General features: G+C 44.4%; 1 protein-coding gene and 1 pseudogene across 1 annotated transcript in view, besides 1 other annotated feature; one reads left to right on the forward strand and one right to left on the reverse strand.

Annotated features, from left to right (window-relative positions):
* ALPK3 (alpha kinase 3) overlaps window positions 1-17,092 on the forward strand; it is a 56,124-nt gene that overhangs the window by 28,181 nt on the left and 10,851 nt on the right. The window contains exons 6-9 of the mRNA NM_020778.5: window positions 10,856-13,019; window positions 13,707-13,854; window positions 14,240-14,367; window positions 14,501-14,536. Coding sequence (NP_065829.4) covers window positions 10,856-13,019; window positions 13,707-13,854; window positions 14,240-14,367; window positions 14,501-14,536 — 2,476 coding nt within the window. The remainder of the gene's footprint in view (window positions 1-10,855; window positions 13,020-13,706; window positions 13,855-14,239; window positions 14,368-14,500; window positions 14,537-17,092) is intronic.
* On the reverse strand, window positions 6,962-7,079 carry LOC124900361 (uncharacterized; annotated as a pseudogene).
* Window positions 16,582-17,083: an enhancer, noted in NCBI's record as "H3K27ac hESC enhancer chr15:85405349-85405850 (GRCh37/hg19 assembly coordinates)". NCBI's record gives its function as "activates a minimal SCP1, AML or CMV promoter by ChIP-STARR-seq in primed H9 embryonic stem cells {active_cell/tissue: H9 hESC(primed)}" and the evidence as "EXISTENCE:reporter gene assay evidence [ECO:0000049][PMID:30033119]".

Below are 17,092 nucleotides of genomic sequence, written 5' to 3' on the forward strand. Positions count from 1 at the left end.
AAAATGACCTCTGAGAATCATTAATGACCTCTGGGTTTATAAACTCTTTATAAATTTCTGGGCTCATCCCCAGATTGTTCCTGCATGGATCTGATTCTGAAGAGCATATAAAAAACTTTGAGAATGAAATACTTGGGAGAATAAAAAACTTCGAGAATAAAAACACTAATGAACCATCATGTAAGTCCCACACTGGCCACTGGGTGGCACACACACAGGGCAGATCCAAATAGCACTGCAGGCCGGGTGTGGTGGCTCATGCCTGTAATCCCAGCACTTTGGGAAGCCGAAGCAGGCAGATCACTTGAGGTCAGGAGTTCGAGACCAGCGTGGCCAAAATAGTGAAACACTTTCTCTACTAAAAATAGAAAAAATTAGCCAGGCATAGTGGCACATGCCTGTAGTCCCACCTACTCGGGAGGCTGAGGTGGGAGAATTGCTTGAACCCGGGAACCTGGGAGGCAGAGGTTGCAGTGAGCTGAGATCATGCCATTGCACTCCAGCCTGGGTGACAGAGTAAAGCTTCGTCTCAAAAATAAAACAACAACAATAAAAAAACCCCAAACAGCATTGGAAATGCTTGGAAAATGGAACCGAGATTGAAACTATAACCTCAGAGGCCTGAATGGAATTTGTAGCCTGAACACAACTAGGTAGATTGCCTTCCAAGACAAAGATGTTAATACTCTCCATAAGATTTAAACAAGAATCAGAGTCTTGTAATATTTAAAATGTCCAAATACAATAAAAGTTACATGGCATATGAAAAATCATGAAAATCTCCACTTGCATGGAAAGACAATCAAAGAGTGCCAATGCCACAGTGACACAGATGTTAGAATCATCTGACTTTAAAATCATCTGACTTTACTATAAAAATGTGGCAAGTAAGGGTGAATACTCTGGAAACAAATGGAAAGATAGAAAGTCTCAGCAAAGAGGTAAAAGACTAGGCTGGGGAACATGGCAAAACCCTGTCTTTACAAAAAATACAAAAAAGTTAGCTGGGCATAGTGGTGTGTGTCTGTAGTCTGAGCTATTTGCAGGGCTGAGGTGGGAAGAACACTTGAACCCAGGATGTTGAGGGTGCAGTGAGCTGAGATCACGCCACTGAACTCCAGCCTGGACAAAGGGAGACCCTGTCTCAAAACAAACAAACAAACAAACAAAAAGAGGTAAAAGATATGAAGAACCAAATATCAATTTTATTCATTTTTTATTTTTTATTTTTTTGAGACAGAGTTTTGCACTTGTTGCCCAGGCTGGATTGCCTGGCACGCTGCAGTGGCATGATCTCGGTTCACTGCAACCTTCACCTCCTGGGTTCAAGAGATTCTCCTGCCTCAGCCTCCTGAGGGAGTAGCTGGGATTACAGACGTGTGCCGCTACACTTGGCTAATTTTGTATTTTTAGTACAGGGGTTTCACTGTGTTGGCCAGCCTGGTCTTGAACTCCTGACCTCAGGTGATCCACTCACCTCAGCCCCAAATATCAATTTTAGAATTGAAATTTACAATAACTGAATAAAAAGACTTACTGGTTGAGCCCAACAACAGAGTGATAGGTGACAGGGAGAAGACAGTGAACTTGAAGTTAAAGCAATAGAAATTATTCAATCTGAACACATACGCCCATACACGCACAGAGAGAGAGGAAGGGAGGGAGAAACGGGGAGAGAGAGAGAGAGAGAGAGAGAGAGAGAGAGAGAGAGAGGAATCAGAAAAATCAATGAACAGAGCCTCAGAGACTTGGAGTGCTGTATCAAAAAGTCTAACATTTGTGTCACTGGATAATCAGAAGGAGAAAGAGAAAGACAGTGATGCAGAAAAAAATATCTGAAGGAATAATGGCTGAAAACTTTCAAAATTTGGCAAAAGTCAAGAAGTTCAGCAAACCCTAAACAGGAAAAGCCCATAGAATTCCACATCCAGAAACCTCATAGCCAAACTGTTGGAAAGTAAAGACAATGAAAAACTCTTGGAAGTAGCCAGAGAAACATAATACATTATTTATAGGGAAGCAATGATTTGAATGACTATAGATTTCTCATCAGAAACAATGGAGGCCAAAAGGAAGTGGAACAACATTTTTTTTTAATGCTAAAAAAAAGAACTTTCAACCTATAATTCTACATTTAGCAAAAATATCTTTAAGTATTGAAAGTGAAATAAAGACATTCTCAGATAATGGAAAAAACAAGACACTACATTGTCAGCAGACCTGTTCTAGAAGAATTGCTAGGCTGGGAGCTGTGGCTCACGCCTGTAATCCCAGCACTGTGGGAGGCTGAGGCAGGTGGATCACCTGAGGTCATGAGTTCGAGACCAGCCTGACCAACATGGTGAAACCTTGTCTCTACTAAAAATACAAAAAAAATTAGCCAGGGGTGGTGGGGGGCACCTGTAATCCCAGCTACTGGGGAGGCTGAGGCAAGAGAATCACTTGAACCTAGGAGGCAGAGGTTGTGGTGAACTGAGATTGCACCACTGTACTCCAGCCTGGGTGACAAAGCCAGACTTGATCTCAAAAAAAAAAAAATAAAAAGAAAAAGAATTGCTAAAGTAAATTTTTCATAGAGAAAGGAAATAATACCAGAAGGAAACTTGAAACATCAAGAATGAAAGAAGGGCAATGGAAATGGTAAATATCCTGGTAAATATAATAGATTATTTCATCTTGATTTCTTTAAAATATGTTTGAAGGTAAAAAGTAAAAAAAAAAAATTACATTGCTGGAGTTTTTTTAATGTATGCAAATATAATATATAAGACAAATACAACATAAAGGGGCATAGGGTAAAGAGACCTATATGATGGTGAGATTACTGTATGGCACTTGAAGTGGTAAAATATTGACTCTAAGTAGACTGTGGAGAGTTAAGTATGTATATTGTAAGCCCTAGAGCAACAACAGAAATACTATACAAAGAGATATAGTAAAAATCACACTACGTAAGTTAAAGTGGAATACTAAAAGATGTTCTAATCTAAAAGGAGGCAAGAATAGGGAAACACAGGAAGGAAAAACAGGAAACAAATAGAAAACAAATAGTAAAATTATTGAGTAAAATCTAAACCTATAAATAATTATATTAACTATAAATGGTCTGAGCATATCAATTAAATGACAGATTGTGAGACAGGACCAGAAAAACTTTCCCAACTTGATGCTGTCAATAAGAAATCCATTTCAAATATAGTGATATAGGTCAGTTACAAGTAAAATAATAGAAAAATATATACCATGCAAACACTAATCAGATGAAAGCTGGAATGGCAATATTAATATCAGACAGAGTAGATTTCTGAGGAAAGAAAATTACTGGCTGGGTGCAGTGGCTCACACCTGTAATCCCAGCACTTTGGGAGGACAAGGCAGGCAGATCACCTGAGGTCGGGAGTTCGAGACCAGCCTGACCAACATGGAGAAAACCCATCTCTACTAAAAATACAAAAATTAGCCAGGCATGGTGGTGCATGCCTGTAATCCCAGCTACTTGGGAGGCTGAAGCAGGAGAATCACTTGAACCCGGGAGGTGGAGGTTGCGTTGAGTCGAGATCACGCCATTGCACTCCAGCCTGGGCAACAAGAGTAAAACTCTGTCTCAAAAAAAAAAAATTACTAAGAGAAAAATAGTGAACTATCTAGTGATAAAAGGGTCAATTCAAGAAGACATAACAATAAAAAATGTGTATGCACCTAACAACATACCTTCAAAATACATGAAGCAAAACCTGACAGAACTGAAAGTAGAAATATACAGAAAACAATAATTATAGTTGGAGACTTTAACACTCCTCTCTCTCAGTAATCAATAGAACTAGTAGACAGAAAATCAGTAAGGATATAAAAGAACTGAACAGCACCAGCAACCAACTATCTAATAGACATATATAGAATACTCTGTGTAACAACAGAATACTCATTCTTTTCAAGTGCATATAAAATATTCACCAAAATAGATTATATCCTGGACCATAATATAAATCTTAACAAATGTGAAGTAATTGAAATAATACAAAGTATGTACTCTGACCAAAATGAAATTAAACTAGAAATCAATGACAGAAAGATAATAGAAAAATTTCTAAACACTTTTAAATTAAAGAACATACTTTTATGGGCCAAGGAAGAAGTCCTAAGGCCAATTAGAAAACATTTTAAATTGAATGAAAGTGAAAATACAACATACCAAAATGTTGGATGCTGCTAAATCAGTGCCTTGAAGAAAATGTATAGCATTAAAATGTTTATATTAGAAAAGAAAAAGGATCTGAAATATCAATAACCTAAGTTCCCACCTTAGAAAACTAGAAAAAGAAGAGAAAAATAAATCCAAAGCAAACAGATAGAAAAGAACAGAAAATAATGAAACCAAAAACAGGAAAATTATGGAGAAAATAAACCCAAAGCTAGTTATTTGAAAAGATCAATAATATCAATAAACTTCTGGCAAGACTTAGAAAAAAAAAAAAAAGAAGACACAAAATACAAGTATTAAGAATGAAAGAGGGGATATCACTACAGACCCTGTAAGGATTGACAGGGTGAAAAAAAAAAAAGACTACTATGAAAAACTGCACATAAATTTAACAACTTAGATGAAATAGAGCAGTTATTTAAAAATTATAAACTACCAAAACTTATGCAAAAATGACTGCCCTGCCCCATCCCTGTTAAGGTCCTGGTTTTGTCCCTTGCTCTTCCAAACCAGCATTCCAGGGCCATGCCCCCTTAGAGGGTTATAAACCATACTATTTTTCATTCAGTTGTTCATTCCTGTGAACCCCTTATGTGTTTGGTACTGTGAAGAATGCAAAGGTGAATAAAACTTTTTATTTTTATTTTTATGTTTTTATTTTAAGAGACAGGGTCTTACTCTATTGCCCAGGCTGGAGTGCAAGTGTCATAATCATAGCTTACTGCAGCCTCGAACTCCTGGGCTCAAGCAATTCTCCCACCTCAGCCTCCAGAGTAGCTAGGACTACAGGCATATGCCACCACACCTGGCTAAATATTTTGTTTTTTTTTTGTAGAGACAGGGTCTTGCTGTGTTGCCAGGCTGGTTTTGAACTTTGGGCCTCAAGCAATTCTCCTACAATGGCTTCCCAAAGCACTGGGATTCTAGACATGAGCAACCATATCTGGCCATACACTGAGTCCTTAATATCTGAGAATTTATGAGGGAAGAGGGAAAAAGACAGCATGGCAAATTAAACCTCCTAATATCCCTTGTAGTAAAAAAGCTTACATAGAGCCAACTAGGTTCATTCTGCTCACACCATTTTTATTTTTAAGAAACATATGACATTCCTTCTCATATCTTTACACAGTTCCAGATATACACACACACACACACACACACACACACACACACACCCTCTGTCATAATGTTTAGTTAGAGGGGTCAGCCCTTGTAGAAGTGTACAGAGAATATTCAGTCATCCACCATGTATTTATTGATTTCCAACTCCCAGGCCTGTACTGGGCCCTCTTCAAAGGGGAAGAATTCACAGATTAGCAGATGACATATGCATGAAATAAATACCACACAGAATGGGGGTATAATGATGGAATTAGTAAATTTGCTATGGGGGCCACTAACTTTTTTGGGGTAGAGGAGGGAACTCAGGAAGTCTTTAAAGAAGAAAAGAAACTTGAGTGAGGTCTTCAAGGATGAGAAGGAGTCCTTCAGGTGGTCAAGGAGTAGGTGAGAATGTCTGGTACAGAAAAAAGTACATAAAAGAGTTACTAAATAGCACAGTTGTCAGTACAGTTAAGTTAGTGTTGGGCGGAGGGACCCAAGAGATGAACCTGGAGAAACAGATCTGGGATTCTTGCTGAGGGACGGGCCTCACTGATCACACAAGGGTTGATTTCCTTATATATTTTCATTTTTAATTGTATTTTTGTTAACTGTATGTCACATGCACAAGGTATAAAATTCAAAAAGTACAAAAGATACATAGAGAATATTAAGTCTCCCCACTTCCCTATCCCCACTGCTCAGGTCCTCTCCCTGAAGGCAGTTACCAAAGCAGGTTCTTTGGGCATCCTTCCAGAGCTATTTTCTTTACATTTGAAAATACGTGTGTGTGTGTCTGTGTATTTTCCACACAAAGGTTGCATATTATACTTTCTATCCTTTACCTTGCTTTTTTATTTGGATGTTTGTTTTATTTATTTGGAATATGGATATACCATAATTCATTGGATCAATCCTGTATTGTTGGAATTTAGGTGATTTCTAGTCTATTGCAATTTAAACAGTGCTGCAGTATATATCCTTGTATATAAGTCCATCTGCACATGAAAGTATACCTGTACGATTAATTCCTAGGAATGGAATTTTTGGGTTAAAGAGTATAAATATTTTTAGTTTTAATAGATAATGCCAAATTGCCGTCTGTAGAGGCTGTGCGATGCCTGTAACCCTGGCCAAGAGAGTACAGCAGTCCCCCTTATCCACAGAAGATACTTTCCCAGATCCCCAGCGGATGCCTGACACTGCAGATAGTACCAAACCCTATATATATTGTGTTTTGTCCTATACATACACACCTATTATGAAGTTTAGTTTATAAATTAGGCACCGTAAGAGATTAACAACAATAATCATAAAATAGAACAACTATAGTAATATGCCAGTATCACTACTCTTGTGCTTTGGGGCCATTTATTAAGTAAAATAATGGTTACTTGCACGCAAGCCCTGAGATACCAGGACAGTTGATCTGGTAACCAAGACAGCTACTTAATGGGTAACGGGCAACCTAGTGTATACCTGGTGGCTATGCTGCACGAAGGGCTGTTTCACATCCCAGGTGGGGTGGCATGAGATTTTATCATGCTGCTCAGAACAGTGCAAAGTTTACAATTTGTTTTTTCTTTTTACTTTGGTTAATCTTTAAAACTCTCCCATGGCAACAATCATAGATTACTATGTCATATAACACCTATGTCTTATATCTCCCCAGGAAAACATACCACCATCGAGTGCCATGGCATCCTAGAGAGAACTTCCATCTTTGCTCACAGCGTTAAGAGCTCTTGGTTTTGCAGCCTCTTTGAAATGACCTATAAAATTTATCAATTGTTTATTTCTGGAATTTTTCATTTAATATTTTCAGACCAAGATTGGCCACAGTTAACTGAAACCACGGAAAGCGAAACCGTGAATAAGAAGGGGCTACTGTGTGATTAAACTTTTTGCTCTTTGAAGCTAGGTCTTTTAGGCTTTATCCTGTCAGTGATGATAAGCCATTGAAAGGTTTTTTAAGAGGGGAGTGTTTCAGTCAGGTTTGTGTTTTGGAAAGGTCATTTGGGCTGCAGTGAGGAAAAGAGTTTAGCAGAGGCAAAGACTAGAGTCATGGATACCAATTAGGAGGCTTTACAGTAGTCCAGGCAAGACAGAATTGTTGGCAGATCCGATTAGGCAGTTGGCAGTGGAGATGAAGGAAATGGATATTGAGATAATGAAGAAGTAGTTTCAATAGAACTGAGGGATTGATCTGGCTGAGAGTGCGTTAGGAGTGAAGGTAGCTTTAATCAAGAAGTTCTAGTTCCGTGAGTCTTGTGAACAGCAACAGTCTTGTATGCACAGTCTGCACCTTCTTTGTAGATTTATAGATCTTATGTCTTTATTAACATTTTCTAATCCTAGAATATCAAAAGATAAAAAAGAGGCTCTAATATATTACTAATTGCTGTTTCTTGGCACCAAGGCAGTTTTGTCTGTTAATATCCGGTTGTCAGAGAAGTTGGAAGAGCATTTTTATTAAGATTCTTCAGTTAGGCCGGGTGCAGTGACTCATGCCTATAATTCCAGCACTTCTGGAGGCCGAGGTGGGTAGATCATTTGAGGCCAGGAGTTCAAGACCAGCCTGGCCAACATAGTGAAACCCCATCTCTACTAAAAAATACAAAAATTAGCTGGGCGTGGTGGCACATGCCTGTAATCCCAGCTACTCGGGAGGCTAAGGCAGGAGAATTGCTTGAACCTGAGAGGTAGAGGTTCCAGTCAGCCAAGATCATGCCAGTGCGCTCCAGCCTGGGTGACAGAGCGAGACTCCGTCTCAAAAGAAAAAAAAAAGATTCTTCAGTCAGCCTGTAGTCCCAGCTATTTGGGAGGCTGAGGTGGGAGGATCACTTGAGCCCAATAGGTTGAGGCTATGATCTTGCCTATAAATAGCCACTGCATGCCAGTCTGGGCAAGATGGCAAGAACCTGTCTCAAAAAAAAAAAAAATCCTTCAGTCAGACTTATTCCTGATATTCGCCAAACTCTAATGTTTCCCACATCGATAACATTCATTCAAAATTCTGAATTTAGGCTGGGTGCAGTAGCTCACACCTATAATCCTAGCTCTTTAGGAGGCTGAGGTGGGAGCATTGCTTGAGGCCAGGAGTTTGAGACTACCCTGGCCAACATGGCAAGACCCCATCTCTAATTTTAAAATATAAAATAAATTTAAAAATTTAAAATTTGAAAAACAGAAAATTCCTAATTTAGTAAAGTAACTTTAAATTCTACACTTAATTTACATATATTTTAATTATGTATATTTAAAAGTCTTTCATTTTGTGATCTTATTCCTTTGATTTTGTGTGTGGTTCTGATATTTAAAAATATTTATATGTTATAATTTCAGTTTTATATAATACCATTAATTATTTCATCTGTTCACTCAGTTTCTACTAATTTTTAATGATGAAAAATGATACAGTGTTTTCACTTCTTCTCTGCATTTTCTTCATTCATCTTTTTTTGAGCCAGAGTTTCACTCTTGTTGCCCAAGCTGGAGTCCACTGGCACGATCTTGGCTCACTGCAACCTCCGCCCCCGGGTTCAAGCGATTCTCTTGCCTCAGCCTCAGAGTAGCTAAGATTACAGATGCGCACCACCACGCCTGGCTAATTTTTTGTATTTTTAGTAGAAATGGGGTTTTACTATGTTAGCCAGAGTGGTCTCAAACTCCTGACCTCAGATGATCTGCCTGCCTCGGCCTCCCAAAGTGCTGAGATTACAGGTTTGAGCCACTGTGCCTGGCCTTCATTCATTTTCTATCTCATATTGGCCTAAAGTTTGATTTCTAAGTGATTATCTTTATTTAGGTAAATATCCTCTATTTCTGTTACTTGGTTTTTCAGCTTTGAGTAATGTCTTTGGTGCCTGGCTCTTACAGGTGACACAGTCAAGGAAGTTTCTTCCCCTTTCCACTTTCGTGCTGGCTGTGTTGTTTCTGTATCGTCAGGGCATAGAACATTGACATTCTGATTTGCCATTCTAAACCCCACTTGATTTTAGTCTTGCTTCTACAGTTATATGTTAATATGCATTAATATATATGTTAATGTAAGTGAAATATGTTCAGTGCTTACCGTCAGCTCTTTTGCTGTTGTTTTCTCAATCATCTTTTGGTTGACTACATTTGTTCCCTGGTGATTTCCTCAAGCAGGGCTTGTGGGAACAATATTCCTTTAGTCTTTGTATGCTAAAACACAATGTTCTCGGCTTAGCAATTTTCCGGAGGTTTCTTCAGGAGTGTAGCTGCCAGCGTTTTCTGAGATCTGCCTCCATTCCATCTCCTCTCCTTGTCTGCTCTGCTCATCTGCCGTGTCTTCGGCCAGTTTCCACCCAGGCCTCCATGACCCTGCAGCTCTTGTTGCACGTGGACTTACGGGTTTATAACCTTGGGGTGACCTTTGTCTACAGTAGCCGTGATTTTGCCGGCGTCTTGAGACCTGCTGAACAGCTCCACTCTCCTCCCGCTGAGCTGTGGCCCTGTTTATTTCCCCATATCACTTTGCTCCTCCTCAGCTTCCCAGTGTCTGCATCTGTTGGCTTTTGGCAGCTGTTATCCTTTTGTTTGTTTTTTGAGACTGTAGGTTTTATTTGCCTCCAGTTTCACTAACAAAGGAGTTTGCTTTGTTTATTTCATGTTTACTTTGTTGGTTTTGATGATATCTTGGAGGAAAAAAGGGAAATCACTGTTGTACGCCACCATGTTTGACAGGAAGTCCTTTAAAAGTAGGTGGCGTTATGGTATAACAACAAAGAGCATGGGATTTGGAGTGAGATACACCCGGCTGCGAATCTGAACTCTGCCACTTACTGACTACCTGACGGTGGACAGATCACATGCCTTCTTGTCATTGTTATCTCTAGAATGGGGCTGATTCTCCTAAGTATTCATACTGTATGAGGAGTAAGTGGGGTAATATCATATACAGGGGCCTAGCATAGTGCTTTGCAAGTAGATGTTCAAAAGGGTAACATTATAATGTTTCATTAATTTCCTGGCATAGATGCCATTCAGAATTACTTTAATCCTCTCTGCTTGGATGGCATCCATTATTATCACTCACTCAATGTTACTGGTGGATGCTGTCACTGAGGCCATTATTGGGACACCCTTTGGCACTCTCTCACTTCACCCATAATTCTATCCAAGGCAATTAGTGCCACAGGAGAAGGACTGCTCTGGGAGCCCTGGGGAGAGGACAGTCTCCTTCATATGGTAGGGGTGAGGGGTGGAATAACCCATGAGCAAGGTCTTTCAGGAAAGGCAGGATTTCTTCAGGAAGAGGTGGAAAGGGCCAGAGCTGGGTCTGGGTGCTAGATATTCCCCAGTCCAGATTCTGAGATCAGAGATTAGGGTGAGTGGGCATGGATGGGGCTTTGGGCATTTGTCACATGTCTTTGCCTCCCAACTTCCAGCAGGCCTGAGAAACCAGGAGGCAAGATTCCCATCAGAGCAGTTGTAGATGAGGTCCGAGGAGACTGGGATGCCAGACTGGAAAGAGATCTGAATGTCCATGTAGTTAAATCCTTGCTTTTGTCCCTCTGTTTTCAGGTCCTGGAATGCCAGACAACCACGGCTCCTACCATGTCGGCCAGCAGCAGCTCTGATGTAGCCTCCATTGGGGTTAGCACTTCCGGAAGTCAAGGTATCATTGAACCCATGGATATGGAAACCCAGGAGGATGGGAGAACATCTGCTAACCAGAGAACTGGAAGCAAGAAGAATGTGCAGGCAGATGGGAAGATACAAGTGGATGGAAGGACCAGGGGAGATGGAACACAGACAGCCCAGAGGACACGTGCAGATAGGAAGACGCAGGTGGATGCTGGGACACAAGAAAGCAAGAGGCCACAGTCAGACAGGAGTGCACAGAAGGGCATGATGACACAGGGAAGGGCAGAGACACAGCTAGAAACAACACAGGCAGGTGAGAAGATACAGGAAGACAGGAAGGCCCAGGCAGATAAGGGCACACAGGAAGACAGAAGGATGCAGGGAGAGAAGGGGATGCAGGGAGAGAAGGGGACGCAGTCAGAGGGGAGCGCGCCCACAGCCATGGAAGGTCAGTCTGAGCAAGAGGTGGCAACCAGCCTCGGCCCACCATCCAGAACCCCCAAACTCCCACCTACAGCGGGTCCTAGAGCTCCTCTGAATATTGAATGTTTTGTACAGACCCCAGAAGGGTCTTGTTTCCCAAAAAAACCTGGTTGCCTGCCCAGATCTGAGGAGGCAGTAGTAACAGCCTCCAGGAACCATGAGCAAACTGTGCTGGGTCCCCTGTCAGGGAACCTCATGCTCCCAGCACAGCCGCCCCATGAGGGGAGTGTGGAGCAGGTGGGAGGAGAGAGATGCCGAGGGCCACAGTCATCAGGCCCAGTCGAGGCCAAGCAGGAGGACAGCCCGTTCCAGTGCCCCAAGGAGGAGCGGCCAGGGGGAGTGCCGTGTATGGATCAGGGTGGCTGTCCTCTAGCTGGCCTGAGCCAGGAGGTACCCACGATGCCTTCTCTTCCTGGAACTGGGCTGACAGCTAGCCCAAAGGCGGGGCCGTGTAGCACCCCGACTTCTCAGCACGGGAGCACAGCCACCTTCCTGCCCTCTGAGGATCAGGTCCTGATGAGTTCTGCCCCAACACTGCACCTGGGGCTGGGGACCCCCACTCAGAGTCACCCACCAGAAACCATGGCCACCAGCAGTGAGGGGGCCTGCGCCCAGGTACCAGATGTGGAGGGGCGGACCCCAGGTCCCCGGAGCTGTGACCCTGGCCTCATAGATTCCCTGAAGAACTACCTGCTTCTGCTGCTGAAGCTGTCCAGCACAGAGACAAGTGGAGCAGGGGGAGAGTCCCAGGTGGGGGCAGCCACCGGAGGTCTGGTGCCCTCAGCCACTCTGACACCCACTGTGGAAGTGGCTGGGCTTAGTCCCCGGACATCGAGGCGCATCCTGGAGCGTGTGGAGAACAACCACCTGGTGCAGAGTGCACAGACCCTGCTGCTGAGCCCCTGTACCTCCCGCCGCCTCACCGGCCTCCTGGACCGTGAGGTGCAGGCTGGCCGCCAGGCCCTTGCTGCTGCCCGAGGCTCCTGGGGTCCTGGTCCCAGCTCCCTCACTGTCCCTGCCATTGTGGTAGACGAGGAGGACCCTGGGCTGGCCTCAGAAGGAGCCAGTGAGGGTGAAGGAGAGGTTTCCCCTGAGGGGCCTGGCCTCCTGGGGGCCTCTCAGGAGAGCAGCATGGCTGGTCGACTGGGGGAGGCGGGTGGGCAGGCAGCCCCTGGACAGGGGCCCTCAGCAGAGAGCATAGCCCAGGAGCCCTCCCAAGAGGAGAAGTTCCCAGGGGAGGCTCTGACAGGTCTCCCGGCAGCTACACCTGAGGAACTGGCTCTAGGGGCCCGGAGGAAGAGATTTCTCCCTAAGGTCAGAGCAGCAGGAGACGGGGAGGCAACCACACCTGAAGAAAGGGAGAGCCCCACGGTTTCCCCCCGGGGGCCCAGGAAAAGCCTGGTGCCTGGGTCCCCAGGGACTCCAGGGCGGGAGAGACGCTCCCCTACGCAGGGCAGAAAGGCGAGCATGCTGGAGGTGCCTCGGGCAGAGGAGGAGCTGGCGGCAGGAGACCTGGGCCCCAGCCCCAAGGCCGGCGGTCTGGACACAGAGGTGGCCCTGGATGAAGGCAAGCAGGAGACACTGGCCAAGCCCAGGAAAGCCAAAGACCTGCTGAAAGGTGAGCAGTGGGGAGGGAGAGGGATGGCTTCACAGGACAGGGCCACAGAAAGCACACTGCTGCTGCTGCTAACAGCACTACCCCATGACAGATAGCATATCCCTCCTCGGGATTCATAAATTACCTTGGTAAAGGTACCCTTCTCTCACAGCCTTTAAGGCCTGGTTCTTGTTTTGATTCTGCCACTCCACAGAGTGGAGATAACAGTACCGCCTTTGCAATGGCATGAGGCTTAAATGGGATGGAATAGATGAAGTGCTTAGCACAGGGCCTGGCTTTAGTAGCGTTCTAGCTCTCCATCATCACCATTCAGTCCCCCTTTACAGAGATGTCGCATGATTACAGAGTGGTGGGGACAGGATTCAAATGCAGGCTTCCAGAGTTAGGGACCTAGAATGCAAACTGAAGTTCCTGTCTCAACTGCTGTCTGCGTCCTCAGCTGGGAGCCCCTCCCAGCCTGGGGTCAAGGTGGAGTAGGGGCTTCTCTCTAGCTGAGATGTGTGCTTTGGGGGTCAGGGCAGAAGCCTGAGATATAGGCAGGAGGCACCGGGGGGCTGTGAGTGGTAGGTCTGTGTGGAGACTTGAATCCTGTTTTCTCCCAGCCTTTTCCACCAAGGACACCCAGGAGAGCAAGGATATGGCCAGAGGAGAGGTGGTGTTCCCCTCTTGACTGGGCCCTGCTCTCAGCCCCACAGGTGATCCGGAAGATTCGGGTGGAGCAGTTTCCTGATGCCTCCGGTAGCCTGAAGCTGTGGTGCCAGTTTTTCAACATTCTTAGTGACTCAGTCTTGACATGGGCCAAGGATCAGCGCCCAGTGGGCGAGGTGGGCAGGAGGTAAGCCAACGACACCACTGCCACCTGACCTGGCTCCCTGATTGCAGTAATACCGTTGGGCACTGTCCTAGTGCTTTGAACCTATCGCCTCATTAATCCTCACAATAACCAGGGGAGGTCCTTTTATTCCCATAGTAGAGATGAGAAAATGGAGGCTCAGCATTCTTTAAGCCACTTGTCCAAAGCCACACAGCTAGTAATTGTCAGGACTGCAAACCAGACCTGTGGGCTTCAGGACCAGCTCTTGGCCCTGGAATCGCGCTGCTTCCCCAAAGCTCTCAGAGCTGGGGTTCACAGCAGCCTCTGAGAGTGGGGTCCAAGGACGCTTAGGACCACAGTCTGCCCCCATGCCATGGCCCTCACGAGTAGGGTCTCCACTCTGCAGCGCAGGGGATGAGGGGCCGGCGGCCTTGGCCATCGTGCAGGCCTCCCCCGTAGACTGCGGTGTGTATCGGTGCACCATCCACAATGAGCACGGCTCGGCCTCCACCGACTTCTGCCTCAGCCCTGAGGGTGAGTGTGCCCCGCGGCCCGGGGTCTCAGCCTGGCCTGGCTCCTGGTGGGTGGGCAGCAGTCATCTTTGAGAGAAGGCACTCTCTTGGCACAGCAGCCTGAAGGCACTGCTTTCTTCTTTTTCTGTATCTAGTGTTGTCAGGATTCATCTCCAGAGAAGAAGGTGAAGGTATGGTTCCCCCCTGGGGAAGGCGGGGTGGTCCTACCCCTGCCATCTGCAGGGAGGACCCTCTTTAAGGGCTTGGAATCTGGTCCCAATCCACATACTGCTCCTCTTTGCCTCTTAGTTTAGGATATGGCTTGGGAGATGATGGAGGAGGACTGCTGTATCAGAAGATTATGGGGGAAGAAGTGACCAAGGGGGCCACTGCACAGGAGTTAGTTCACCCTTGTGCCCTTTGCCCATGTCAGAGTCTTTGATCCAGGGCAGAACCGGCCACCAGGGCATGTCTTATCCTGCCAGCTCCTACCCAGGGTTTCTCACAGTGCTCTGTGGACCCTGGTATTAGATTCACACAGGGAACCTGCTAGAAATGCAGTTTCCTGGTCCCTGCTGCACTGCAGACATCTTTAATGACCTAGGAGGGACCTAGGAATATTGCGTTTTCAGCAGGCCCCCTGGTGATCATGAAATACCTTCAAAGTTTGATACACATTTGAAGGGCTCAAATAGGGATGGGCACGTACTGCTCCTACAAGAGACAGGCTAAGGCTTGGGACTGTGAAGGCAGCCAGTGATAAAAAGATGTTTGGAGCTGTATTTGCTAACAAATGCATTAATTCCTTCATTCTCTCACTCTTTCAATCACTCATTCATCCAACTAGTGACTTTGTTTTGAGATGGAGTCTCACTCTGTTGCCCAGGCTGGAGTGCAGTGGTGTGATCTTGGCTCACTGCAACCTCCGCTTCCTGGGTTCAAGCAATTCTCGTGCCTCAGCCTCCCCAGTACCTGGGATTACAGGCATGCACCACCATGCCCAGCTCGTTTTTGTATTTTTAGTAGAGATGGGTTTCACTATGTTGGCAGGTCTGGTCTCGACCTCCTGACCTCAAGGGATCCACCTGCCTTGGCCTCCCAAAGTGCCAATTAGTGACTTTTGTTTAGTAATCAAATAAAATTTAATCAATATCAAATAAAACCTCAACCTCAAAACTAAGTAATAATTATTTAATATCATCAAACATCCAGTCAGATTTCCCCAACTGTCTCATATGCGTTGGTTTATTTGAATCAGGAACCACTCATTGCTTTTGGCTGATGCAGCTCCCAAGTCTCTCTTAATATTTAACAGTTCCTCCTACTTTATTTGTTTTCTTCCTTTGCCATATGTTTGTTAAAGTCACTGGTATAGAATTTCTAACATTCTGGATTTTGTTGATTGTGTTCCCATTTAACATGTTAAATGCTTCTTCCAAATTGGTAATCAGATTTAGAGGTTTGGTCAGATTCAGGTGTGATTTTTTTTTTTGGAGGAGGGGCAAGAATAACTCACAGGTGCTGTGTATACCTTTTGCATCCTATCTGGAGGCACATACTGTCAGATTGTTTCACTTTTAGTAATGTTAAGGTTGGTCACTGGGTTCATTCAGGTGCATCTGTGTGATCCATCCCCTTTTAAAGTTAAAAACAATCTGATACAAACCCTATTGTTATCTAGGGGTTTTGGCAGTCACTGATTATTGCCTAAATCTATTATTTCATTAGCAGTTGCAACATGGAGATAGTTTAATTTGGTCTTTTCTTCTTCATTCATTAGCTGATTTTTTTCTGTAAAAAAGGGATGATTATTTGGTTATCCCAATACGTTAAGTTCCAACAGGAAATGAAGGATAAATACTTGCTCTTTTCCCTTTAGTTACTAGAATTTAGAATAACGAGTTGGTGCCCTACCCTACCGTTTTCCATAGGTGACCAGTGAGGTTTATTTTTTGAGGGAGGAGATTGGATTCTTTTTTTTGTTGTTGCAACTATGAATACATGGATTTTTAACATATTTGATATGTTCAATATGTTGCAGTAATTATTTTTGTTGCCAAGATTGTTTCCTTTTTGGCCCAAGGGAGCCCCTTCAGGTTGGCCCCTGTGTCCTTCTGCCAAGTCTCTAATAGCTTTTGCTAGCTCTCTTGCTTTCTGGATTCACACGATATTTCAGGTCCTTGCTGTACACTTTCTGCCTAGACCTGGAATCAACCATTTCTTTAGAAAGCTCTGGTTTCCCTTTAATGGGAAATTATATTTAGCGGTCACAATTTGAGCATTAGGGGTGCTCATTGCTGCTGGATTGGTCCTGCAAACTTTTTGTTTCAGTCAAACGTGTTGGTTGAAATGGAGTCATGTATTCATCTGATCAAAACAACGAATTCCAAAACAAAGTAATTCTGGTATTCTGTATTGATTATTGTTGCCACAGAAAACCCCTGCCTTCCACAAACACATCCTGAGCACTGTGTTTGGACAGTGCTTAGGACGCATTTGTGGAAGGCAGGGGTTATGTGATGGATACCACATGGGTACCGCTAGATGGCAGGGGTTGAATCAAATAGAGTTTCTGCCCCAAGGAGCTCATAGTCTGGTGGGGACTTAATGTGCCCAAAGAGCAGGCGTGGACGGAAAGTGAGCCCAGCAGGTTGGCAGGGTGGGAGGCTCTTCTGGCCTTTTCCTTCCCTGTGAGCCCCACATTGGTGAGACAGGAGCTCCTGGTCTCCCACATTTCTCCTGTTCCC

This window comes from Homo sapiens, chromosome 15 (assembly GCF_000001405.40).
Source record: "Homo sapiens chromosome 15, GRCh38.p14 Primary Assembly".
NCBI lineage: Eukaryota > Metazoa > Chordata > Mammalia > Primates > Hominidae > Homo > Homo sapiens.